Source organism: Homo sapiens, chromosome 1, assembly GCF_000001405.40.
Source record: "Homo sapiens chromosome 1, GRCh38.p14 Primary Assembly".
NCBI lineage: Eukaryota > Metazoa > Chordata > Mammalia > Primates > Hominidae > Homo > Homo sapiens.
The window spans coordinates 20580382-20608325 of NC_000001.11; the positions used below are offsets into that span (position 1 = coordinate 20580382).

At 47.5% G+C, this 27944-nt stretch overlaps 1 protein-coding gene across 1 annotated transcript in view; it reads left to right on the forward strand.

Annotated features, from left to right (window-relative positions):
- The first annotated feature begins 8715 nt into the window (after positions 1 to 8715).
- CDA (cytidine deaminase) overlaps positions 8716 to 27944 on the forward strand; it is a 29807-nt gene continuing 10578 nt past the window's right edge. The window contains exons 1-2 of the mRNA NM_001785.3: positions 8716 to 8902; positions 24547 to 24658. Of these exons, the coding sequence (NP_001776.1) occupies positions 8749 to 8902; positions 24547 to 24658 (266 nt within the window). The 5' untranslated portion in view covers positions 8716 to 8748. The remainder of the gene's footprint in view (positions 8903 to 24546; positions 24659 to 27944) is intronic.

Genomic DNA, 27944 nt, shown 5'->3' on the forward strand with positions numbered 1-27944 from the left:
CAGCTACTCAGGAGGCTGAGGCAGGAGAATCATTTTAACCCAGGAGGCAGAGGCTGCAGTAGGCCAAGATCGTGCCACAGCATTCCATCCAGCCTGGGCAACAAAGCAAAAGTCTGTCTCAAAAAAAAAAAAAAAAAAAAAAAGGGGACTCATAGGCCTCACCTGGTTGCCAGCACAGGCTATAGTAAAATAAAGGTTAAGAACTCTTAAAGGGATTCCTAAACTATTAACATTAGTATCAGAAAGAAAAGGATATAAGATTTTATTAAAAGCATGAGAAATAGAGAGGGACATTATATACAAATAAAAGAAACAATCAATTAAGAAGATATAATGTTAACAAATATATATGTATGTACCTAACAATATAGCTTCAAAAGATATAAAGCAACAACTGATAGGAATACATGGAAAATACATATAAATGAATAGTTGTAGTTGGAGATTTTAACAAACCTCTCCCAGAAAGTGATAGATCAGTTAGACAGAAATAAGGGAGATACTGTTTTTTTGTTTGTTTGTTTGAGATGGAGTCTCGCTCTGTCACCCAGACTGGAGTGCGGTGGAACGATCTCGGCTCACTGCAAGCTCCGCCCCCGGGGTTCACGCCATTCTCCTGCCTCAGCCTCTCGAGTAGCTGGGACTACAGGCGCCCGCAACTACGCCCGGCTATTTTTTTTGTATTTTTAGTAGAGACGGGGTTTCACCGTGTTAGCCAGGATGGTCTCGATCTCCTGACCTCGTGATCTGCCCGTCTCGGCCTTCCAAAGTGCTGGGATTACAGGCGTGAGCCACCGCTCCCGGCCGAGATATTGTTTTTTGAAGAGCATGGTTAATAAGTTCTAAATACTATATAGAGCTTTATGGCCAACAAACCTAAAAATACACAAATTTTCTTATACCTATGGGACATTTGCAAAGATCAACTATGTGTTAAGTCACAGATAAAGACCAATATATCAGAGATTTCAAAAATAAGAATAGAATATCATATGTAATTTTATGTCAATAATTTTGAAAATTTAGATGAAATGAACAAATTTTAAAAATAGGCCACAACTTGTTTACTAAAACTGACTTGAGAAAAAATAGAAAATCTGAATAGCCCTACAATTTTTAAATACATTAAATTGACAATTTAGATTAGATATTAATTATTTATTTAGTTACTTATTTGTAGAGAAGAGGTCTCATTATGTTGCCCAGGCTGGTCTCAAACTCCTGCTCAAGGGATCCTCCCACCTCAGCCTCCCAAAATGCTGAGTTTACAGGTGTGAGCCATTGCACCCAGCCAATAGTTTAGTTGTTTTTTTTTTTCTTAAAAGAAAACACCAGGCTCAGATGGTTTTACAGAAAAAAAATCCTACCAAAATATCAAGAAATGGACTATTCCAACAAACTCCTCCAGAGGCAAGATAAGATGGTTTTCAACGGAAATTGAAAAACTGATTCTAAAATTTACATAGAAGAGCAAAAGCCCAATGGGGAGATACATCTCCAGAAATCAAGACTTATTGTTAAACTATAATAATAAAGATAGGTACGGTATACGTGTAGGAATGAACAAATTCACCAGTGGAACAGAATGGAGAGTCCAAAATCATTCTCACTCATATAGAAATTTGAAATTGAACATAGCTGGCATTGTAGATGTCTGGGGAAAGGAGGGAGTATTCAATTAATAGTGCTGAAATAATTGGATATCCATATGGAAAAAAATTAAATTGGATCCCTGCCTTATACCCAAATTAATAAAAATTAATTCCAGATGAATGAAAGACTTAAAAGTGAAAAGTAAAACCTTAAAACTTTTGATAGCCAGGAGGGGTGGCTCATGCCTCTAATCCCAGCACTCTGGGAGGCTGAGGTGGGTGGATCACCTGCGGTCATTAGTTTGAGACCAGCTTGGCCAACATGGCAAAACCCTGTCTGTAGTAAAAATGCAAAGAATCAGCCGGGCATAGTGGCACGTGCCTGTAGTCCCAGCTACTTGGGAGGCTGAGGCAAGAGAATCACTTGAGCCAGGGAGGCAGAGGTTGCAGTGAGTGGAGATTGCACCACAGCACTCCAGCCTGAATGACAGAGTGAGTGAGACTTCATCTCAAAAAAAAAAATAATAATAATAATAAATAAAACTTTTCAAAATATATCTTCATTCAGATTTTCTTATGGATACAGGTAAGAGTTTCTCTGTTGACCTAGGGCTGGAATCGCTGAATCTCAAGGTAAGCGCATACCTAATTTCACTGAGCCCTGCTAAGTTGCTCTCCACAAAGTTATACCGGTTCGAAATCCCAGCAGCAGTGAGGAGGGCTCAAGTCTCTCCTCATCTTTGCCAACCCTTATCATTATCCAACTTTTTTTTCTTTTTGCCATTCTGATGAGTGAAAAGTGACATCTCACTGTCTTAATTTCATCTCTGTGAATATTTTTAAATGTTGTACAAATACTTCCCTTACTGTAAATTGCCCATCCATACATATCCTTTGACCATCTCCCCATGGAGTTCCTTGTCTTTTTCTTGTTGATTTGTCATGCGTCCCTTACATAGTCACTATATTAATCATTTGCAATCATTCCAGCCATCGAAAAGAGTTTTGTTTGTTTGTGTGTTTGTTTTTGAGACAGAGTCTCAACTCTGTCACCCAGGTTAGAGTGCAGTGGCTCAATCATGGCTCACTGCAACCTCAACCTCCCTAGGCTCAAGCCATCCTCTCACCTCAGCTTCCTGAGTAGCTGCGATTACAGGCGTGTGCCACCACACCTGGCTAATTTTTTGTATTTTTTGTAGAGATGGGGTTTCGGCATGTTGCACAGGCTGGTCTGGAACTCCTGGCCTCAAGCGATCCTCCTACCTTGGACTCCCAAAGTGCCAGGATTACAGGTGCAAGCCACTGAGCCCAGCCGAAAAGATCTTTGTTTCCTGTTTTTTTCAACATTCTACTGGCTTTGTCCATGAAGTCCTTCATCAAACAAAACTCCTTAATTTTTATGTAGCCAAGTTTGAAGAAGCGAAAGTTTGTAGAGAAGTTTTTTCCATCCCCATCTCTTCTGTAAAATATCTGTTCAAGTCTTTTGCTTACTTTTCTGTTGGGATGTTTGTCTTTTCTTACTGGTTTTAAGAATTCTTGATATATTGCCGGGCGCGGTGGCTCATGCCTGTAATCCCAGCACTTTGGGAGGCCGAGGTGGGCGGGATCACGAGGTCAGGAGATCGAGACCATCCTGGCTAACACGGTGAAACCCCGTCTCTACTAAAAATACAAAAAAATTAGCCGGGCTTGGTGGCGGGCGCCTGTAGTCCCAGCTACTCAGGAGGCCGAGGCAGGAGAATGGTGTGAACACGGGAGGCGGAGCTTTCAGTGAGCGGAGATTGCGCCCGCCACTACACTCCAGCCTGGGCAACAGAGCGAGACTCTGTCTCAAAAAAAAAAAAAAAAAAAGAATTCTTGATATATTATGGATCATAATCCTTCCAGGGAGTGTTACTCCCTGACATTTCTGGCCTACCCTATCTACCCTATGCATGGGCTGAGCAGACTCATATGCCCAGGGAATGCTTCAGGTAAGAAGCCATGGGTATGTTTAGGAACTACCCGTTAAAGCTGGAGGTGACATCTGGGATGGCTAAGGGGGTGTGGGTGAGGCTCCGACAGTATTTGCTGTACCCACGTTGTCCAATATGAACAGCCACCCATCATTTAAGACTCCTTTTGGGCTGGGTGCAGTGGCTTACGCCTGTAATCCCAGCACTTTGGGAAGCCGAGGCAGGGGGCGGATCACAAGGTCAGGAGATCAAGATCATCCTGACTAACATGGTGAAGCCCCGTCTCTACTAAAATAAATACAAAAAATTAGTGAGGCGTGGTGGCACACGCCTGTAATCCCAGCTATTCGGGAGGCTGAGGCAGGAGAATCGCTTGAACCCAGGAGGTGGAGGTCGCAGTGAGCCAAGATCGTGCCACTGCCCTCCAGCCTGGATGACAGAGCAAGACTCCATCTCAAAAAAAAAAAAAAAAAAGAATAAAATAAAAAAGACTCCTTTTATCCTCTTGTTATCTGGGAAGCTTTTCCTAACCTACCTACTCCACCACTCCTTCCAAACAATAGTTTTTCTGTATTGCTATGAGACCCAGTACCTAATCTCATTTTATAGTGTTTTATGCCTGTCTGTTGGCTTATCTGTCTCCTTCACTAGTGTGAGATCCTCAAGGCAGGCACCGAGTCTCATCCACCTCTGATTCTCTGGTACCGAACACAGGGCTTGGCACACACTATTTGCTATAACATGTGCTAACACTTGTTAAGCACTTACCATGTGCCATTCGCCATGCTAAAAGCTTTATGTATATTATCTCGCTTGATTTTTACAACAATCCTAGGAAGTAATATGTTCCTCTAGATGCCACAGGATTGACAGAAACAAAACTCAAACAACTTTAAGATAGAAGTGAATTTTACTAGTTCAATTAAAGGAAAATCTAGAAACATGCCTTCAGGCATGGCTGGATCCAGACACTCATTGAGCAATTGGGGTTCTTTCCCTCCATCTCTCAGCTCTGTTTCTCTCCATCAGGCTTCATTCTGCAAGCAAGCTCACTCTACAAAGAGGGGGAAGCTAGCTGCCAGCAACAGTTGTATCTTCCTACTTAGCAACCACAATGGGAAAAACCAACATTCCCACTGACTCAGCAGAAAAGCGAGGTCTCTGATTGGCGCATCCTGTGTCAACTGCTTGTACCTGCTCATGGGGTGGAAGCACAATGATTGGCAGCCCACCAAGAGGTCTTGCCTAAAAGAACCAAAATAAAACAAAAGAGATGGGAAGCCTTCCTGAGCAGAATAAAACCATGATCCACCAGAGATGGGTCCTTGTGTTGTCCCATTGCATCAATGAGGAAAGAGGCACAGATCACTTGCCCGGGGATACCACTGGTGATAAGTAGCAGAAAAAATATTTAAACTGATGGGTCTGATGTCAAGTCCTGCACCCCTTGCCCATCCATTATACTGGCTCCTCCTATGAATTCTGGGATGGATGAGAGCCCAGGATTCAGATGACAGACAAACTCAGGTTTAAGATCTATTATTATTATTATTATTATTATTATTATTATTATTATTATTAGACAGTATCTTGCTCTGTCACCCAGGAATGCAGTGGCAACATCATAGTTCACTGCAGCCTCGAACTCCTGGGTTCAAGCCACCCTCCCACCTCAGCCTCCTGAGTAGCTGAGACTAAAGGCATGTGCCACCATACCTGGCTAATTTTTTTTTAAATTTTCGTAGAGATGGGGTCTTAGTATGTTGCACCCGCTGGTCTCAAACTCCTGGCCTCAAGCGATCCTCCAGCTTCAGCCTCCCAAAGCACTGGGATTACAGACATGAGCCACCACACCCAGCCTGAGATCCTTTTTTGAGGCTGTGATCTCTATGAGCTCAAGTGTCCTCATCAGTCAAATATGGGCAATAATAGTATCTCTATCTGGTGGTGAGGATTAAATGAAATCATTCAAATAATATATTTAGCATAGGGTCTGGCACATAAAAAGAGCTAAATTAATGTTAGTTCCTATTATCAATAACTATTCATTGAATGAATAAGTGAGTGCATGGTACCTAGACTCTAACATGAAGACTCTGGTTAGACTCTGGTTAGAGATGATACCTCACGTATCATCTCACGGTGTGAAGGCCTGGGAGCAGGGTTTAGGGAGGGCTTTGGACCCTTGAAAATCTCCACCACGGTGCAAAACACTCTCCATGGATTTTCTATTCTTTGAGCTGGGCAATTAACTTTTCTTAATTTTTCTTTCTTTCTTTCTTTCTTTTTTTTTTTTTTTTTGAGACAGGGTCTCATAACATAATGTTACCCAAGCTGGGGTACAGTGGTGCAATCACAGCTTGCTGCAGCCTTGAACACCTAGGCTCAGGTGATCCTCCTGCCTCAGTTTCCTGAGTAGCTAGGATTACAGGTGCACACCAGCATGCCCAGCAGATTTTTTTTTTCAGATAGGGTCTTGCTACATTGTCCAGGCTGGTCTCAAACTCCTGATCTCAAGTTATCCTCCCACCCTGGCATCCCAAAGCACTGGGATTACAGGTGTGAGCCACTGCAACCAGCCAACTTTTCTTAGTTTTACATAAAGTAAAAATAAAAGCATGTTTAGAAAGTGCTGTTCATATTATTGATCTGTAACTTAGCTCTAAGCAAGTTTCCAAGCCCACTTTCTCCTTCCAACCGAATGACCACCCCAAGCCCCTTCCATTAGGAATTCTAGGCCAGGTGCAGTGGCTCACACCTGTTATCCCAGGACTTTGGGAGGCCAAGGCTGACAGATCACATGAGGCCAGGAGTTTGAGACCAGCCTGGCCAACACAGCAAAACCCCATCTCTAGTAAAAATAGAAAAAATTACCTGGGCATGGTGGCACACACCTGTAATCCCAGGCTACTTGGGAGGCTGAGGCACAAGAATTGCTTGAACCCAGGAGGCGGAGGTTGAAGTGAGCCAAGATCACGCCACTGCACTCCAGCCTAGGCAACAGAGTGAGACTGTCTCAAAAAAGAAAAAGGAATTCTAGAGCCACCACTGGCACCCACGCTCCATACAGCTGGGTTTGGAATGAGCGCTGTCCTCACGTATGACCACGTGCAGGTAAAGAGCTTTGAAGGTGCCAAGGGCCATGAGTAGCTTGGGAGGTCATCTAGGTTCTCCCAGCACTGTGGAGTCAAGGAGTCCTGAAGGCCGGTCCCAGGCCTGGGCAGGGCTGGGTGGGGCAGACTGAGACAGGGCAGGGGACAGGAACGGGATGACTTATTGAGGTCTCTGACAGGCCTGGCAGACCAGCAGGGCACTACAACTCTTTTCCCAGTAGTAATTATACTTGGCCTGAAAAAGCTTTAGAATTATTCCCACGTTGAGTGGGCACACAGTGTCCTGAGACATCCTTGGCCCTCTGAGATCCAGGAAACTGCTCTAGATGCCAAAGTTATAGAGACAGTAGGAAAGTGCATGGGTGGAGAGGCCCTCAGCCCCAGCAGGAGGCAATAGGCTGCCTCTCTGAGGGCTGGATGCAGTGGGAGGGGAGGGGATCTGAAGGGAGAGGAGGCAAGGAGGAAAGGAAGCAAACTTTACCCAACTCTTCAGCGGCCCAGCTGGGTGTCTGCGATGTCCACATATGGCTGAGAGCTCCAAGTCTGGGACACAGAGATGCCAGCATGCAGGACACGAGATACTGCCTTGTTTTCTCCTCCTTTCCCCTGCCTTTCCCCCTGCCCCTTCCCCATTCCCCATCCAAACTCTCCTGCTGGCCAGGGGTGTGGAAACAGTTGGATGTCTTTGGCCACTCTAGCTGGAGTTCTGCCCTATGTGATCTTGGCTGAGTCACTTAATGACAATAACCCAGTTTGTGTGGAGTCACAAATGGTGTTCACATCATAACGTCACCAGACTCTCCAGCCACACCCATTGTACACGCATTATCTCATTCAATCCTCATGACAACTCTGGAAGTGAAATCATGTTAGTGCACCCATTTTGCAGATGAGGACACTGAGGCTTAGGGAGATGGTGTGTGACCTTCCCAATGTCATATGTCTAATAAATGGCAGGAATGGAATTCAAACCATGGTTTACTAAACTCCAAAGCTGGAGCCCTTCTACAGTCTCAGGATCTAGAACAGGGATTATTACTATCTCTGCTGTTGACATGAGGAAACTGTGGTTCAGGGAGGTCAAGTGACCTGCCAAAGCTTGTACACATGGAAAGTAGTAGAACCAGGATGCAAACACATTTCTTTACCACCAACACCAATATCTATTTTGCCAACAAAACAATGAGGGGGCCTGAGTAAATAATCTCAACGGTTAACTCCACCCTCCAATTGAGATACTTTTTTTTTTTTTTTTTTTTTTTGAGACAGGGTCTGGCTCTCTGTCACCCAGGCTGGAATGCAGTGGTGCAATCTGAGCTCACTGCAGCCTCTGCCTCCTGGGTTCAAGCCATCCTCCCACCTCAGCTTCCCAAGTAGCTAGGACTACAGGCACATGCCACCATGCCCAGCTAATTTTTGTATTTTTTGTAGAAACAGGGTTTTGCCATATTGCCAAGGCTGTTCTCAAACTCCTGGGCTCAAGCAGTCCTCCTGCCTCAGCCTCCTAAAGTGAGCCACCACACCCAGCAGCTGAGACACTTTTTAATTCTGGGCTAGGGCAAAGAGAAGTTGGAAGGAAAATGGGTGAAAATAAAGAAGTTCTCAGTTATACTGCAGCTTGTTCATGCCTCCTGCCTCGGGATGCCGCAGTGGCTGCCCCAGCCCTGCCCTTTCAGCCTCAGCCCTTCCCTCAGTGAAGGAGAGAAAAAGTGATTTAACAAAGTGAGGACTGTCAGCCCTTGGAGCTTGGACCTTTGAGATCTCACACTGCCCCACCCAGTAGCTTCCCCTTCCAGTAGCGTGGCACCACCTTCTGACCCACCCCTCAGTGTGTCCACCAGTGAGAGTGGTTCCTAAGGGAGAGTGTGAAGCACACGTAGGCACTGTCTTACACCACACCTGCTGAGTCCAAACCATGGGAGGCTCCTCTCCTAGACCCTGCATCCTGAAAGCTGCGTACCTGAGAGCCTGCGGTCTGGCTGCAGGGACACACCCAAGGGGAGGAGCTGCAATCGTGTCTGGGGCCCCAGCCCAGGCTGGCCGGAGCTCCTGTTTCCCGCTGCTCTGCTGCCTGCCCGGGGTACCAACATGGCCCAGAAGCGTCCTGCCTGCACCCTGAAGCCTGAGTGTGTCCAGCAGCTGCTGGTTTGCTCCCAGGAGGCCAAGAAGTCAGCCTACTGCCCCTACAGTCACTTTCCTGTGGGGGCTGCCCTGCTCACCCAGGAGGGGAGAATCTTCAAAGGTAAAGGTGGGCACCCCAGGGTCCCCCAGCCCAGCAGCCTGGGTGGTGGGTCAGAGGAAGATGTACAGGAAGAGGCGCAGAGGCACAGGCAGTGGCAAGAGCGCGGCTCTGTCCCTTCTTCCCCCAGTCTCCGCTGGAATGTTCCTACCCTGCCGACTGCCCCAGACCGCGCTCAAATGTGGCTTAAATCCAGGGTCTTTCAATGCTTAGAGGACTGGGATGAGGAAGGAAGTTGGATGGGAGGCAGGAAGGGGAGGCCATAAATCAAAAACATCAACAGTCCTGGGGTGCAGGCAGGGAGAGCGTTCGTGCTTTCCCAGCCTCGGATATGTCTGGCACCTTACTGAGGCTTCCACAACACTAAGTCCACACCTCCTGCCCACTGACCTAAGTGTTAATGCTCGTCTTTAGATGAAACTACGGAGGTCTCGAGAGGTGACATGACTTGCCCAAGGTCACACGGGGCGCTGGTGGTGAAACCCTGGGCTGGAGGTTCCCCAAAGCCCTGCTCTCTTCCTTCCACCCACTGTGCTCAGTGCTGGCCAGGGTGGTGACGTGTTTGTCGGGGGTGGTCGGTGGAGAATCTTGGAGGAGAAAAGCCAGCTGGGCTTTCGGAGTCCAGCAGTGAGCAGCGCCCTGCGGGGCGGGGGCGGGTAATGGAACCTGAGCCCATCTGAGTCTGCTCTAATCTGTTCCTAAACTCTTTTCTTTGATTTATTGCTTTTGTAGAAAAGTTCATGTGAGCAAAAATTCAAGCTTGTTTTTGCTAAGCTTAGAGGCATTCTCCTTCAGGGCAGTAGGGGACATGGTGTGGAGGTACCCCTTGGTATTATTCCCTGTCTGTTGAGGTTCTGTCGGGTGTGACTTGCCTGGGTCTTAAACATCTTTGAGTGGGAGAAGCAGGTTTGATTGAGTGCTAACAGCCTGTGAAAGGAAGGTGATTAATGCTATCCATTTAACCCCTGCAACCCTGAAAGGCAGAGAAGGAAACAGGTTTGGAAAGTTTCAGAGCTCAAAATCACAGAGCTGGGATTGGAACCCAGACTTCCCCTGACTCCAAAAGCTGTTGCTCTGTGGGGAGTGAAGGATCTCTGAGTACCGTGTTGAAATTCAGACCTGTTTTGGTGGCTGAGGTGAATATTAAACATTAACCACCACCACAAACAACAAACATTCACCACCACCGCAAACACCATTGCAACTCACAACATTGCAGAATCTTGAATGTGGAAATCAGCCCTTGATTCTTTCGAAAGCCTCCACATCCTTTCCAGATGGCACAGAAAGGGCCCTCCTACAATCCCCCGGCACCCACACTGACCCCTCCTGCCGTGCTTATCACATGGTGTCATCACTGTCCACTTATGTATCTGCCTCTCCCTTGGGACTTTGTGCTGCAGAGGGCAGGAGCTGTGTCTTGAATCTTTGTGCCATTGACTTTCTCGTGCTGTGACGTAGCACCTGCCTGGCTCAGAACAGGCACTCAATAACTGTTGAGTGACTGATTGGATGAATGAATGAGATGAGTACGTTTGGAGAAGCAGAAGGAAGAGGGATGGTGGGGCAGGTGGTGGTGATGGGGGCTCAGCATGTTCGGCCACAGCATTTCCTGGCCTGTGGGGCCAGCATGGCTGCCTTCCATCCATGCTTTCCAGCACTGGAACTGGTGTTCTGCTTGGAACAGCAGGAGGTCAGACAGCCTCATCGTGCCTCCAGAGCCAGGGGACCCCCATGCCAGAATGCTTGGGTCCTTTCTTGTTTTAAAACCCACAATAGTCGGGCATGGTGGCTCACGCCTGTAACCCCAGCACTTTGGGAGGCCGAGGCAGGCGGATCACGATGTCAGGAGATCGAGACCATCCTGGCTAACACGGTGAAACTCCATCTCTACTAAAAATACAAAAAAAAATAGCCGGGCGTGGTGATGGGTGCCTGTAGTCCCAGCTACTCGGGAGGCTGAGGCAGGAGAATGGTGTGAACCTGGGAGGCGGAGCTTGCAGAGAGCCGAGATCGTGCCACTGCACTCCAGCCTGGGCGACAGAGCGAGACTCTGTCTCAAAAACAAACAAACAAAAAAAAACAAACCCACAATAAAGGAGGCACACTTTCACTCATAAGTGACACCTGGGAGCTCCTTCCAGTGAAGTCCACACCTCTGTCACCCTCATACTGATCATTCAACAGATATTTGCTGAACATCAACTCTGTTCCAGGTAAGGTGCCAGGTGCTGGGGATATCACAGTGAACAGGGATGACACAATCCCTGCCCCCATGGCAGTCCCCTCATATTGCATAGGTGATGACTGAAGGCTCGAGCCTCATCCAGTGGAAGGAAGGAATGGAGGAGATAAACAGGACTGTGGCCCATTTGCATTGCAGGGAAAGACCTGGTGTCACCAGAGAAAGGGTTGTGTGATGGGGATTTAGAGAGTGAAATGGAGGCTTCAGAGTCAGAGGTTCCTGGGTTGGAAGGCTGGTGTTTATCAACTGTGTGACTCTGGGTGAGACCCTTCACCTTTCTGAGTGTCAGCTCATACATTTTATTTATTTATGGGTTTTTTTTTGTTTTTTTTTTTTGAGATGGAGTCTCACTCTGTCACCCAGGCTGGAGTGCAGTGGCGCGATCTCGGCTCACTGCAATCTCCGACGCCCAGGTTCAAGCGATTCTCCTGCCTCAGCCTCAGAGTAGCTGGGATTACAGGCACCCGCTACACACCTGGCTAATTTTTGTACTTTTAGTAGAGACAGGGTTTCATCATGTTGGCTAATCTGGTCTCGAACTCTGAGGTGATCCACCCGCCTCAGCCTCCCAAAGTGCTGGGATTACAGGCATGAGCCACCGCACCCAGCCAGCTCACACATTTTAAGCCAGGGATCATAAAACCCACCTTTCAGGATGACTGTGAACAGAACCAGATTCAGCTGGTATGCTGGTATGCCTGGCACGACACGGCATGGCAGGCAGCATTCACTCTGATCGGTTGGTGCCTGCGCTGAGTATGTAGAATTTCACCCCTGGTTGTGAGGCTTTAAATGAGTAAATGCTTATAAAGCATTCAGCGCATTTTCTGCCTCGTAATAAGAAGGTCACAAATGATAGCTGCTTCTGCTACCACTATTAATGCTATCATTATTCTTATTATCTGGAGGCAGATTGTGGAGGACTTTTGGAGGCCAAACAGAGACACTAAGATTTGAAGAGGTAGGAAGTAGGGAGCCAAGGAATGTTATTAAGAAGAAGAGTAACATAAAAGTGGTGTGTGATGACATTTAGTGTGACAGGTGCTCAGCAAGGGCGGGGACAGAGGAACAGTGTCAGGGTACAGTATCTGCTCCACTCACTGACCTGTCTGCAGTGTCAGCACACTTCCTGGCCTATCACTGGGCCTCTGTAAGGTTTGTTGAACACATGAATGAAAGGCTTCTACTAGGACTGGGACAGGTAGAATGAAGAGAAAGGAATGATCCGAGAGATATTGTGTGGGACACATGGACCGGGCCTGGCATGGGCAGTGTTACAAATAAAGGCTGGGTGCGGTGGCTCATGCCAGTAATCCCAGTGCTTTGGGAGGATGAGGCTGGAGGATCCCTTGAGTCCAGGAGTTCGAGACCAGCCTGGACAACATGGCAAGACGTCGTGTCTACAAAAAGTACAAAAATGAGCTGGATGTGGTGGCGTGCATCTGTGGTCCCAGACACTTGGGAAGCTGAGATGGAGGGATCACTTGAGCCCCAGGAGTTCGAGGCTGCAGTGAGCTGTAATCACACCACTGTACATCAGCTGGGCGACAGAATGAGACCCTGTCTCAAAAAATAAAAAACAAAATAAGAAATAAAGTAAAGGCACATGGCTTTAGGATCGCCAGCCAGGTGGCCCAGGTGAATGATGATGAGGCACTGACTGAGGTGAGGCATTGAAGGCATGGCTGGACTGTGTGCTGGGGACGTGCTGGGCAGGGACCAGCAGCAGTATTCGAAGCTACAATGGAGTGAGCTCACTAAGGACTTCATTTAGATGACCTCCTGTAATATCACAGCCACCTCATGATGGGGGACAATGAGTTTCACATGCACTAATCAGAGTACTTCCTATGGTCAACGTCAGAAAGCAACCAGAACCAGAGCGGGCAAGGGTAGTGCTTGTCTCAGGGTAGCTGGATCCAGGAACACAAACATCACCACATCCTTCTTTATCCTTCTGGGTGCAGGTCTCTTTCTCTTGTCCTGCAGGTGGGCTTTTTCTGGGCATCAGGGAACATGAGTGCAAGCAGTCTCTGGTTTCCATTCTTTTGTTTTTGTTTTTGTTTTAAAGGCAGGGTCTCTCTGCTGCCCATGCTGGAAGTACAGTGGCGCGAGCCTAGTTCACTGCAGTCTCAAACCCCTGAGTTCAAGCTATCCTCCTGTCTTAGCCTCCCAAGTAGCTGGGACTACAGGTATGTACCACCATGCCCAGCTAATCTTTTTTATTTTTATAGCGATGAGGTCTTGCTACGTTGCCCAGGTTGGTCTCGAACTCCTGACCTCAAATGATCCTCCCACCTTGGCCTCACACAGTACTGGGATTACAGGCATGAGCCACTGCACCTGGCCTGTTTATCATTCACACATTACTGAAGTAGGAAGTGAGGCCAGGTGCAGAATAGGGGGTGGATGCAGTAAGTTGGGGCTTGGAGCAGGGGGCACCTGGACACCCAGAGGAAGCCTGGTGTGGTTTCATGGGGTGAAGCAGAGCTGATCAGGAGGCAGAAACGGCACAGCTGAGTTTAGACACTGTGAGTTTACAGCTTATGGCAGAACAGGTCTGCCCAGGTCTGTGACTTTCTCCAGCTAAACACAAGACCGGCACAGGTGAAGGCTTCCCCCTCCAAGGCAGCTGGTGTCCCATCCAATTCAAAAGCAGGCCTGGCTGCAAAGACGGCCTTGCTATCGAGACTTCATAATGATCATCATTTTCTCTCTGTTACTCCCAACCCTGGCCAGGGCCTTGTGCCCCTCACAGATGGGCCACCCAGGATGGTGATTAACAACTACAGCAATTAGGTTTTCATGATGCACCTCGGGCTGGTAACATTCGTGACTGCTTGTGGGGAGAGCCGAGGGAGAGGTACAGAAAGAGGAGCTCACTGGTGAGGAAAGAGCTGCTAAGGGAAAAAAAAAAGTGAGGACACAAAGAGGAGAGTGGAGATGGCACAGAAGGAGGATTGAGAAAGCAAAGAAAATGGGCCAGGCGCGGTGGCTCATGACTGTAATCCCGGTGCTTTTGGAGGCCGAGCTGGGCGGATCACCTGAGATCAGGAGTTCGAGACCAGCCTGGCCAACATGGTAAAACCCCATCTCTACTAAAAATACAAAAAATTAGCCAGGTATGGTGGTAGGTGCCTGTAATCCCAGCTATTCAGGAGGCTGAAGCAGGAGAATCGCTTGAACCTGGGAGGTGGAGGTTGCAGTGAGCCGAGATCACACCACTGCACTCCAGCCTGGGCGACAGAGCGAGACGCCATCTCAAAAAAAAAAAAAAGAAAGAAAGATAAAAGAAAAGAAAGAAAGCAAAGAAAATGGTCCACGGAAACGGAGTCAGCTCCGGGCCTTGCACATGGCTGAGGCTCAGCCGGTGTTCGTGCAGCGCCGGGTGGGTGATGGGCAGGGAAGAGAAGGACCACCTGTAACCCTAGGGGCACTGCACGAGGTGTCCCTGGGCTCGTGGGGAGTATGCATCTGGCGATGAGACCACGACAGTGCCAGAAAGGGTCCCAGGATGGTGCCCAGACACAAGACTTCTTGGCTGTAGTTTCTGCCAACTCTGCTGGCACAACCCAAGGGATGGGAGGGTTTATCTTCTTCAGCTCATGACCTTAGGACAGTGGTCTCTCTCCCTCTTTCCTCCTCCTTTCCTCTCCGTCTGCCATTTAGGGAAAAAGCCACTTTACTCAACCAGCTGGGGTGAATTCTGAGAGGAACACACCACATTTTAGAAGACACTTGAGGATGTCTTGGTTAAGTAACCACTGAATCCAGCCTACCTTGGCTTAATTCTTAAATCTGAGTCTTCCATTTTCCCTCAAACCACCCCCTGCTGTTCTGATTCTGTCCCTGGTCTCCCTTTCTCTGCCTGGATGCATTTTCCTAGAAGCATTTCTTGGTGCCTGACACCAGCCCCTCTCTTCAGCAGCTGATGGACCCCAGGCCCCATCCCCCCAACACCACAGCATCTCTGGTCTAGGTAAGAGCAAGCTTCTCTAACCTGGGTCTTCAGCTTACAGCCCAGCTCCCATCACGCCCCGTTTCCCGCTGTTTCCCCCTGCCAAGGAACTTCAGTTAGTCCTCTCCACTGTCACTCAAAAGTGGCTCATTTTGTGACCAGCCTAGGCAACAGGGTGAAACCCCATCTCTACAAAAAATACAGAAATTAGCCAGGCGTGGTGGCACATGCCTAGAGTCCCAGCTACTCGGGAGGCTGAGGCAGAAGGATGGCCTGAGCCCCGGTGGTGGAGATTGCAATGAGCCGTGAGCACGCCACTGCACTCCAGCCCAGCCCGGGCAACAGAGCAAGACTCTCTCAAAAAAAAAAAAAAAAAAAAGGCCAGGCACGGTGGCTCATACCTGTAATCTCACTCAGCACTTTGGGAGGCTGAGGTGGGTGGATCACCTGAGGTCAGGAGTTCAAGACCAGCCTGGCCAATATGGTGAAACCTCGTCTCTATTAAAAATACAAAAATTAGCCAGGCGTGGTGGCAGGCGCCTGTAATCCCAGCTGCTCAGGAGGCTGAGGCAGGAGAATCGCTTGAACCTGGGAGGCGGAGGTTGCAGTGAGCTGAGATCGCACCATTGCACTCCAGCCTGGGTAACAAGAGTGAAACTCCATCTCGAAAAAAAAAATTGTCTCATTACATAGGCAAGCTTTACTACAGTCCCTCGACTAAATAGCTGAGTTCGAATATAATTCATACCTGAAATGGTGCATTTGCAGTGGGAGGAGGTTAGGAACATGGAGAGAGTGTCGTATTTCTTCAAGTATATGGACAGAACATTCCTCACGTGATTCTCAAACGTGGTCCCAGAACTGCAGCCTCAGCAGCTCCTGGGAACTTGTGAAAATTTGAAATTTTTGAGCTCCAACCCAGCCCAGACCTATTGAATCAGAAACTCCAGGAAAGAGGCTTACAAGTGTGTTTTAAGAAGCCCTCTACTCAGGAGGCAAAGGCAGGAGGATTGCTTGAGTCCAGGAGTTCAAATTCCAGCTGGGCAACTAATAACAAGACCCTGTCTCTAAAAAATATAAAAATAAATAAATTTAAAAAGAGAAGCCCTCCAAAACATTCTGATGCCCACTTGCTTGAGTGTGAGAATACTGCTTTAATCTTGCTAGGATCCCTCAGAAAAGAGAGTGGGTGCAGTGCTTTCTGGCATTATTCTTTTCTCTGGGTGGCTGGGCCCAAATAGCCTCATTGTGAGCTTCTTTCCCTGTTGATGTCTTTTTTTTTTTTTTTTTTTTTTGAGACAGGATCTCACTCTGTTGCCCAGTCTGGAGTTCACTGGCACAATCTCAGCTCACTGCAGCCTCGACCTTCCTGGCTCAGGCGATCCTCCCACCTTAGCCTCCCAAGTAGCTGAGATCACAGGCATGCACCACCATGCCTAGCTAATTTTTAAAATTTTTTGTAGAGACTGGGTTTTGACATGTTGCCCAGGCTAGTCTCGAACTCCTGGACTCAAACAATGCACCCACCTCAGCCTCTAAAAGTACTGGGATTACAGGCGTGAGCCACCACACTCAGTCTTGCTGATGTCTTAATAACATCTGACCGCAGCCCTGCCTTAAGCACCAAACCACCTCAAAACATGGCCTTCCTTCCTGCAAGGCCATAGAGAATAAGAAGAGTCTGGCCGGGCGCCGTGGCTCACATCTGTAATCCCAGCACTTTGGGAGGCCAAGGCAGGTGGATCATGAGGTCAGAAGATCAAGACCATCCTGGCTAACATGGTGAAACCCCATCTCTAATAAAAATACAAAAAAAATTAGCCGGGTGTGGTATGCAATCACAGCTACTTGGGAGGCTGAGGCAGGAGAATGGCGTGAACCTGGGAGGCGGAGCTTGCAGTGAGCCAGGATCGTGACACTGCACTCCAGGCTGGGCGACAGAGCGAGACTCCGTCTCAAAAAGAAAAAAGAAGAGTCCATCGTATCTCACAGGCCAGGATGCATGTTTTGGCCTCCTGCCACCAGCCTTCACTTTTACCTTCTGTAAAATGGTGTTCTAACAGTATTTACCTTACCCAACAGTTAAAAGGATTAACTGACCTTATGCAGGTAAAGCACTCCACAGAGTGCCTGGCCTATGAGTGCCCAGTAAAAGAAAGCAATTAGTAATACTGGCACTATGATCGTAGTATTATTTGGTCCTATCTTATTATTATGGATTTCTAACTTAGCACCATCCCAATCTCTCTCATGTATGTTTTGAAGTAAGCAAAGGCAATAGCAGAAACAGAATTGGTTTGCCTGGTCAGAAGACAGCCTGCTTTCTGGGCTGAGAGAAGCAAAACAAAATTGCACAGCATTTCAGGATGCAGTACGTGGGCAAAGGCTTCCTTCCTTTTTTTTTATTTGCCTTTTTTTTTTTTTTTGAGCTAGAAAATTCAAGGAAATTACTTGAATTTGTTACAGGCTCCAAATACAGTTATTCCTCTGCGTCTTAAGCATCTAGAACTGAAGTGGAAAATTCCACTCTTTCAATAATGGTTAGCCATCTTAGCTCAGGCCATGCTGTGGTTTGAAGGTTTGCCCCCTCCAAAATGCATAAGCGTACTTTGGAGGGCTTCTCTTTTCAAATTTATTATTTATATACACTTTTAGAGACAGGGTCTCGCTATGTTTAATTGCCAATGCAACAGTGTTGGGAGGTGGGACCTAATAAGAGGTGTTTAGGTCATGAGGGCTCTGCCCGGTGAGTGGATGAATACCGCTATAAAAAGGGCTTACAGTATGGATTCTCTCTCTTTCACTCTCCTGCCACATGAGGAATAGTGTTCCTCCCCTCCAGAGGATGCAATGTTCAAGGCGCCATCTTGGAAGCTGAGACTGGGTCCTCACTAGACACCAACTTGCCAACAGCTTGACCTTGGACTTCCAAGCCTTCAGAATTATGACAAATAAATTTCTGTCCTTTATAAATTACCTAGTCTGGGATATTACGTTACAGCAGCACAAAACGGACTAAAACAGGCTGCTATAACAAAATACCATAGACTAGTGGTTTAAACAGCAGACATTTATTTCTCACAGTTCTGGAGGCTGGGAAGTCCAAGATTCAGTTCTTGGCGAGGGCCCTCTTTCTGACTTGGCCATTTTCTCACTATGCCCTGACAGGATGGAGAGAGAGAGTTTAAGAGTCTCTTCTTCTTCTTATAATAGCACTAATCCCATCATGGGGGCTGCCCCCTCACGACCTAATCTAAACCTGGTTATCTCACAAATGCCCCACCTCCTAATAGTATAGCGTTGAGGGTTAGGACTTCAACAGAAGAATTTTAGGGAGACACAAACATTCAATCCATAAGAGAAACTGAGAGCCCCATGACTTCACTGTTCCAGGCCCAGGACATACCACAACACATGTTAGAGACAAAATCTCTGCCCTCAGAAAGTTTGTAATATAATAGGAGGAATTAGATAATAAAGACATTTATTTCAGGAGACTGTTAAGTGCTATGAAGAAAATTAAAGCAGGAGAAATGGATACAGAGAGTTGGAGGCAGTAGTGGGAGGAAGCCATTTTAGATAGGTGATCGGAGAAAGCGTCTCTGAGAAGGTGACATTTGAGCAGAGCCCTGAGTAGGGTGAATAGTGCGCAAAAGGGAAAGAGAGTTCCAGGCAATGGGAACAGCTTGTGCAAAGGCCCTGTGGCAGGAGCATACTGGTGCCCTGAGGGGAGCAGCTGGAAGGACAACAGGTCTAGAGAACAAAAGGAGATGCGAGCCAAGAGGTAGCACCAGATCACATATGACCTTGGCACCAGATCACATATGACCTTGTAGTCATAAGAAGGATTTCAGGCCAGGCGTGGTGGCTCACACCTGTAATCCCAGCACTTTGGGAGGCTGAGGCGGGTGGATCACAAGGTCAGGAGTTCAAGACCAGCCTGACCAATATGGTGAAACCCCATCTCTACCAAAAATACAAAAATTAGCCGGGCGTGGTGGCACGCACCTGTAGTCCTACCTACTTGGGAGGCTGAGGCAGGAGAATCGCCTGAACCCAGGAGGCAGAGGTTGCAGTGAGCCGAAATTACGCCACTGCACTCCAGCCTGGGCGACAGAGCAAGACTCCGTCTCCAAAATAAAATAAAATAAAATAAAATAAAATAAAACAAAATAAAATAAAATAAAAATAAAGGATTTCAAAGTGCCTGAAGGACAGGGACAGGACCACTGTCATACCTTGTTGAGAAGGTGCAGAGGGTCACATAGCCCTACTGCCACCAAAGCCTTGATTTTTATGCAATTGATAACAGCAGCAGCTAACAGCTGCCGACCATTTCCTCTGTGCCAGGCTTTGTGTTAAGTGCTTTACACGAGTGATCTCAATTTATTCTCACAACAGGACTATGAGGGAGATTCTATCATTAGCGATTTACAAATGAAGCCAGTGAGCCTCAAAGAGGTTCAGTCCCTTTCCCCAATTCTCAGAGCCAGTTGGGCAAAGAGTCCCAGGGCAGAATGAAACCTAATGGAACCTCTTTCTACAGGGTGCTGTTTGAGTAGTGGGGCATGTGAGTGTGCCCCCTGCCACAACCATCTTTCTTTCTCATTAACTGGCCTATTACATGTTTTACACAAAGTAAAGGAAGATTTCTGTCTCTGAGGCCTTTCTGAACTTCCAGAGCAGACACATGTGACCATCCTGAGAGACTGGGTCTTCTGCAAGTGTGGAAATGTGCTTTAACGGCATGTCAGCAAAACCCAAGATCTGCATGCATCACTTTTGATGGGAAAAGTGTCAGACTTTAGTCAGGGATCGGGCAGGGAAGCTGGAAGGGCGGGGCTGGGAGAGTCACTAGGCTGGGAGTGAGGCTGGCAGGGACTGTAATCTGGGAGAGAGGCAGAAACCAAGTGTAGGGATGTCAGTGAAGGTGGGAGTGGTGAGCAGATATGGCAGGTGAGAGTGGTGTTTAAAGAAAGTCATTTTCAGGGGCTGGGCATCTTAGCTCACACCTGTAATCCCAAGATTTTGGGAGGCCGAGCTGGGCGGATCACTTGAGGTCAGGAGTTCAAGACCAGCCTGAACAACATGGTGAAACCCCATCTTCACTAAAAATTAAAAAATTAGCCAGGCATGGTGATGCACACCTGTAATCCCAGCTATTAGGGAGGCTGAGATGAGAATCACTTGAACCCAGGAGGTGGAGATTGCAGTGAGCTGAGATTGTGCCACTACACTCCAACCTGCATGACAGAGTGAGACTCTGTCTCAAAAAAAAAAAAAAAAGAAAAGAGAAGAAAAAGAAAGTCATTTCAGGTGAGGATCAGGAACCTGGCTGGGGAGACAAGGTGGGGAGCAAGAGGCATTATTCATTTATACATTCAACTTTCATTGACTCAGCAGAGAGACTGAGCAATAAGGGGCCAGTTATCTCAGCTATAATAACTAACATTTAAATAAACAAAAGCTCTCAGGGTTGCAACTTCCTGATTGTACCCTGCCCCATATTCCAACTGTATTAACTGATCTCTGTATGGTTTCAAATGATAAAAATACACATGAACTATTTTAGACAAAAGGAGGATGTATGGATTCCTATAACTAAACCGTGGGAAGACCTGGAGTGTAGCCAGACCTCAGGGGCAACTGGCACTGGCCAGACTCCTTTCTTTCCATCTCTCTTCTCTCATCCATTCTTCTGAGTGTCCATTTCAGCCTCTCTCATTGGTCTCTTCCATAATGAATGGAAACATGGCGGCCCACACTCAGTGTCTCAAGAGAGAAACTGAAGTTCCCACACAGAGATGAACTCTGATTGGCCAGTTTGAGTCAGGTGTTCATCTTTATGCCCATAGCAAGGTCATAGGAGACAAGATGGCAGCTCCCATTTGAACTACATGCTGGGGAATAAAGTAAGAGTCATTCCTCAGGGGAAAAAATGTAAGAGGTGTTAAGTTGTCAAAACAGTAGATGCTCACTATAGTCTACCCTTTGGTGCTCAGTATACAAGCCTGTTTTCTTCCCCAAAGTAGAATTCCAAACCAGCCCCCATCTAACACCATACAGCCATCCCATGCACCACTGTGACCACATTCACCCTCACCCTGACAAGGGACCTGCAGCTGTGGCACCCAGTAGTGTCTAATGACATCCGTCAACTCTGGACATGAATGCCTGCGATCCTGAGAACGAGTTAAATGACTAATCACTCCTAACATGCCAATGTAAATAATGAAGGGACCAGAAAATATGTGAGGAAAAATATACAAGAAGATAATGACCAAATAATTCCCAAATGTGATCAACACGGAACAAAATACTGCATAATCACAATGAAGACTTGGACTTATAAAAGGAGGTGTAGGCTGGGCACCGTGGCTCACACCTATAATCCCAGCACCTTGAGAGGCCAAGGTAGGTGGATCACTTGAGCCCAAGAGTTTGAGACTGGCCTGGGCAACCCCATCTCTACAAAAAAATACAAAAAATTAGCCAGGTGTGGTGATGTATACCTGTGGTACCAACTACTTGGTAGGTTAGGATGAGAAGATCAGTGGAGCCCAAGACTTTGAGGTTACAGTGAGCTATGATCATGCCACTGCACACCAGCCTGGGCAACAGAGTAAGATCCTGTCAAAAAGAAAGGAGAGGGGAGAGGAGGAGAAAGGAGGGGAGGGGAGGGGAGGGGAGGGGAGGGAAGGCTAAGTTGATGAAATCAATAAGTATACAGTGACTCAAACAAGATGTGGTGGCTTATTTCCCTCATCTAACAGACCAGGGGCGGGCTGGAGTCCACAGCATAGGAGATGTGTTTCTCTGTCCTGCAAAGTTGTCCTGGAGACCAGATTCCTTCTGTCTAGATGTCCCACCATCCCTAGAGTTGTGTCCTCATCTGCATGTTCAAACTGACACACATCATCACACCCACATCATGGTTTTTTTTTTTTCGTTGTGTTTTGAAATGGAGTCTCACTCTGTCGCCCAGGCTGGAGCGCAGTGGCATGATCTCGGCTCACTGCAACCTCTGCCTCCCAGGTTCAAGCAATTCTTCTGCCTCAGACTACTGAGTAGCTGGGACTACAGGTGGCTGCCACCATGCCAGGCTAATTTTTGTATTTTTAGTAGACAGGGTTTCACCATATTGGCCAGGCTGATCTCAAACTCCTGACCTTGTGATCCGCCCGCTTTGGCCTCCCAAAGTGCTGGGATTATAGGCTTGAGCCACCATGCCCAGCCTCATCATGTGTTTTTATAGGCCAGGCTTGTGGCTTCTTTGGCGATCCAATTCTATCAAAAGTTGGAAACATCCTGATCTATTTGCTTCCAATTATTTCCATACAGAAATGCCACACCCAGAGATCCCTTCTGGACATGGTTCTGAAGCCTGCCAACTCTGGCATTTTCCTAACTGGCTCCCATGCCTGGCCCATTCCTGCTGCCCCATCTTAATGCTGGCTATTGTGGTGCCTGAAACAACAGGCTGTGTGGGCAGATGACACATCACATCTTTGCCACAGGGCTGATTCCCATTGCCAGGGAGAGAAATTTCAGTGGTGGGTACCACGGCCTGCCTTCCTGGTTATTGCAGGTGGAGCTTTACCAAATAACAGACTAGGAGGAGTCACCATCTGGCCATCTTGCCTCATCTGTGTTTTCTCCTTTGCGTTGCTCAACCACTAAGCCAATGTCACATACTTTAGATTTTTTTTGTTCAAGTTGCATCTCACCTTCAGCACAAATGTCTGTATTAGACATAGGTTATGCTACTATAACAAACAGATTCCAAGATGCAGTGATATAAACATGGTGGAATTCTCTTTTTCTCTCACACAACAATTCAGAGTAGGCCCCAGGCAAACGGGCAACTCTGCCCCATGAGTTGACCAGGTTTCCAAATTCCTTCTCTCTCCTTGCTGCTCCTCCATTCCCTTGGCCACGCAGTCAAAAGTGTCCCACCCCATCACCTCCACCTTCCAGTCTGTGGAAGGAGAAAAGAATGGAAGTAACAGGCAAGCAACCTCCTTACCAAAAGTATGATCCAGAAATTTCCCACATCACCTTGGGCCACATCCCATTGGCCAGAACTGCATCATGTGGCCACACTGTGCTGCAAGGGAGTCTGGGAATTACAGTCCCTAGCTGAGCGGCCATGCTGGAATGGGAGGCACTTGTATTACTTAAAGGAAGAAATAGGAAATGAATACTGGGGAACAACTCCTATCTCCGCCTCAGGGAAAAAGGCAATTTACAAACAGTGATACAGATGGAATACCACATCTTGCTGGTCAGGGGAAAACCCAGCTCCCATAGTGATTTGTTCGTAGACTCACTTCCCTGAATATGGGGACTTTCTTAGCCAATCTGGTTATGCCAACATCTTGCCTCCTAGGAGCAGCCTTGGCTTATTGTCCCCCAGCAACAACCCTGAGAGAGCCAACAGGAAGGACTCCCTTACTGAGAGCTGGGCCATCTTAGGAGCCCACATCCCACTGGAGGCCCGAGGATTGTTTTAAGTCTTGTGAAATCACAGGCAACTCGCACAAAGCTCGAGGTGTTTTTTTTGTTTGTTTGTTAATTGATTTCGTTGTTAGTTGGTTTTGACAGTGTGTTTGTTTTGCAACACAACTGACACAGAACCCTGGCTGAACTCTGACAGCCAGTACCTAACCCCCAAAATTTTGTCCAGGCTCAAACTTGGAATCAGGATCTGTCTTAGTCCATTCAGGCTGCTATAACAGAATACCATAGACTGGGTAGCTTGTAAATAACAGAAATGTATTGCTCACAGTTCTGGAGACTGGAAAGTCCAGGGTTCAAGGCACTGGCAGATTCAGTGAGGGCCTGCTTAGTCATAGACGGTGACTCCTTGCTATGTCCTCATGCGGCAGATGGGGCAAGGCAGTTCTCTGGTTTTATAAGTGCATGACTCCCATTCCTAGGCTTGGTCCCCTTCATTCCATTCTCATTATCTAATCATTCCTCCAAAGGCCCCACTTCCTAATACCATCACTTTGGGGGCTAGGATTTCAACATATGAATTTGATGGGACACATTCAGACCATGGGGCTCTTAGATCTCTTAGATGCAGGTGTGGGGGCTCTACTTATTTTTGTAAGCCTCGGGATCTACCCTGGCCTTGACCTCTGCAGGGGTGATGGAGCTGCCTAATCTGCCTGTTGTGCTGCCCTGCTCCCAGGCTGTGCTTCATCATGGAGGCATTGGGTAAATTAAGACAGTGCCAGGTTCTTGGGAAGGGCCACTACCATGGGCCAAAGAATCTACCAGTGCCCCAGGTCGAATTGCCCTAATTGCCCTGTCCTTCTCCCCACCTTGTTTGGAGTAACCAGTTCCTTCCTGCTTTGGAATGGGGCAAACTTCTTACTCAACACACGCAACAGGAAGTGTCTCTGCCAGACATACCACTGGACTCTGCTCTCTTCTCAGGGTGCAACATAGAAAATGCCTGCTACCCGCTGGGCATCTGTGCTGAACGGACCGCTATCCAGAAGGCCGTCTCAGAAGGGTACAAGGATTTCAGGGCAATTGCTATCGCCAGGTGAGTGGGAAAGCCAGGTTGCAACAATATTCATTCATCTCTTTAGCCAACATCTTCCTTACACATATTATTCATTCATTCATTCATCTGACATATGTTTATTGTGGACTTCCTATGTGCCAGGCACTGTACAGGGCCCTGGGATGAGTGCTGAGGATAAGGAGATAAATAAGAAATGGAGTTTGCCCTCAGTGAGCCTGCAAAGCAGGTAAATAAGCAAGGCAACTCTCATACAAGGGCCAGTATGCCCCTGTTCCAGCAACACAACGTGATACAGACTCCTGTCCTACAAGATATAACAGAAAGGCAGCATTGAAACATAAAGCGGGGGGAACCTGAGCCAGGCGCGGTGGCTCACGCCTGTAATCCCAGCACTTTGGGAGGCCAAGATGGGCAGATCACGAGGTCAGGAGATCGAAACCATCCTGGCTAACACAGTGAAACCCCGTCTCTACTAAAAATACAAAAAAATTAGCTGAGCGTGGTGGCGGATGCTTGTAGTCCCAGCTACTTGGGAGGCTGAGGCAGGAGAATGGTGTGAACCTGGGAGGCAGAGCTTGCAGTGAGCCGAGATGGCGCCACTGCACTCCAGCCTGGGCGACAGAGCAAGACTCCGTCTCAAAAAAAAAAAAAATTTTTTTTTGCTGATGGTGGCATGCCCATAGTCCCAGCTATTTGGGAGGCTGAGGCAGGAGGATCACTTGAGCCTGGGAGTTCGAGGCTGGAATGAGCCATGATTATGCCATTGCACTCCAGCCTGGGGGACAGAGTGAGACCCTGTCTCAAAAACAACACAAAACAAAAAAGCATTGAGAACAGTTTGGAAAGGTCTTCACCGGCAAGTAATTATCACAGTGTTGTACCATTGGATTCTCTTGGCTTACTTATAGGTTCTGTATTGTTTGAATAACAAAAAAGGAATACTGAAAGCTGGGTTTAGTGCAAGGCCAGTGGGGACTGCACAGAAGCAAGCCCACGTGCCTTTTATAAGATCCTACACTTTGCCTCAGTCTGGCCCCAAGGAGACCCAGCTTAATTTGTTTCTGAGTAAGTAAAGCCCGAGGTGCACTCAAGGAGAAGGGCTCCAGTATCCGATAGCCTTCCCTGTCACCGAGGTGTGTCCTGGCTTCCTTAAGGCTTCCGGAGGAATAAATGACGGTTGGCGGGCGCCTGTAGTCCCAGCTACTTGGGAGGCTGAGGCAGGAACATGGCGTGAACCCGGGAGGTGGAGCTCGCAGTGAGCTGAGATCACGCCTCTGCATTCCAGCCTGAGTGACAGAGCGAGATTCCGTCTCCAAAACAAAAAAGCGGGAGGGACCTAAAAATCACCTGCTATAGACTCCCTTGCCACCACCCCCATTTTATAGCTGATGAAATTGAGGCCCCGATAAGTTGAACAACTTTCCTGGGAGTTAGTGCCAGAGCTGGGACAAAACCCAGGTTCCAGAGTCTCACTGCAGGGCTCATTCCACTACATCATGCTGTGCCAGGAGATGGAACACTTTTCCCTGTTCTCCACAAGCTGATGCTAGGATCCTGAATGAGCCACTCAGCACTGCTCTCTCCTTCATTTGGCAACACTCACCTCTAGGTCCAAGAACCAGGATACAAAAACAGTCAGGTAAACAGTAGTTATGGTTCAAACTAATCAGAGTCCAGCCAAGGTTCTGGCTGAACAAGAGCCCCAATCAATGCTCCTATATGTCCCAAACATAAATATCCTAGTTGGTATGGCTTACTTTCCACGGGAGCATGTTGAATTCTTGTTGGCTCTGGCCCTAGACTCAGTGGTTTCAGGATCCAAGCACGTAAATTAGCCCTTTTACTGGACTCCATTATTGAATGACTTAATGGTGAATTGCTCCTGTGTGCACCTTTGCATTGTGTATGACAGTTTTCTTAACAAGTTAATGATGCAAGAAAAATGACATGGGAAATGTTGATCCCACCCAGAAGGAGGCTGCATGCCTGTTGGTCTTTAGGGACATCTGGGTGCATAGGTCACATTCTGTGAGGTAATTATCTCTTCACTCATAGTGGAGTTAATTCCTGTGGTAGAGCTACAGCACCTTTCTGGCTAAAATACAGAAAGAGAGCTACACCTTTTAGCACCTTTCTGGCTAAAATGCAGAAATGCAGGGGTTTAGTGCAAGGCCAGTGGGGACTGCACAGAAGCAAGCCCACGTGCCTTTTATAAGATCCTACACTTTGCCTCAGTCTGGCCCCAAGGAGACCCAGCTTAATTTGTTTCTGAGTAAGTAAAGCCCGAGGTGCACTCAAGGAGAAGGGCTCCAGTATCCGATAGCCTTCCCTGTCACCGAGGTGTGTCCTGGCTTCCTTAAGGCTTCCGGAGGAATAAAGGACGCTGTGCTGAGAACATTTTGTGCAGATAGGCCAAGATCAGGATGTGAATTGCACTTTATGAAAAAAAAGAGAAAAGGAGGGAAATAACTCAATTTCAAAGCTGATCCAAGAAAATAATGATATTCTAGGGAAAAAGAGGCCAAAGTCAACCAAAGGATAATGATGCCTTGCTCTATTTAGAATTTTCCAAATGAGAGGCTTTTTCTCTTGGTCATTATCGACTTTTAAACAAAACTAAGTATCACTAGCAATGATTAGCAAATGTCCTTATTTACACAAAACCTGCCATTTTTCCAGCACCCAACTGCTGTACTCTAGGTATTCAGCTCAGTTTCCCTGAGCCCAAGATGCACTCATTATCGCACTCATGATTTGTTAAATTGAGAGCGTTTGTGGATTTAGAGGATGAATGAGAAGTACCAGCTCCCTTGTTAACATCAGATGGGTCTGAGCAACCTCAGAGAGAACCCCTCTCAGGTCTTTAAGGATGGAGACCGCACTCAGGAAAGGTCCGTGTGTCTTACTGCTCACAGACAGATGAGACTGCCCCACTGGGTCCCAGCTGTAGTGATCAGAGTCAGTAGGTTTCCAGCCCGTCAAGTCTGATAAGTACGGCCTCAGTGTGTGACCAAGGTGAGCACAAACCACAGAAAACTGTAAATAGCCAGCAAAAGGCAGGACAGAGTGAAGGGCAGGGTAGAGGGAGAAAGGGGGAAGCTGTGAAGAAACATCCTGAGGCAGCCAGCAGGTGCTCAGTCTTGAGTGCTCTCTCTTGGCAGGAACGTTGAGTAAGTTAGAAGCCCAGGCTTCAGGGTCAGTGAAACCAGTTTCCAAATCCAGCCGCATTATGGACCTTGGGCATGCTGCTTAGACCCTGAGCCTGGCTTCTCATCTGTGAAATGGAGGAGACTGGTCTGTTACA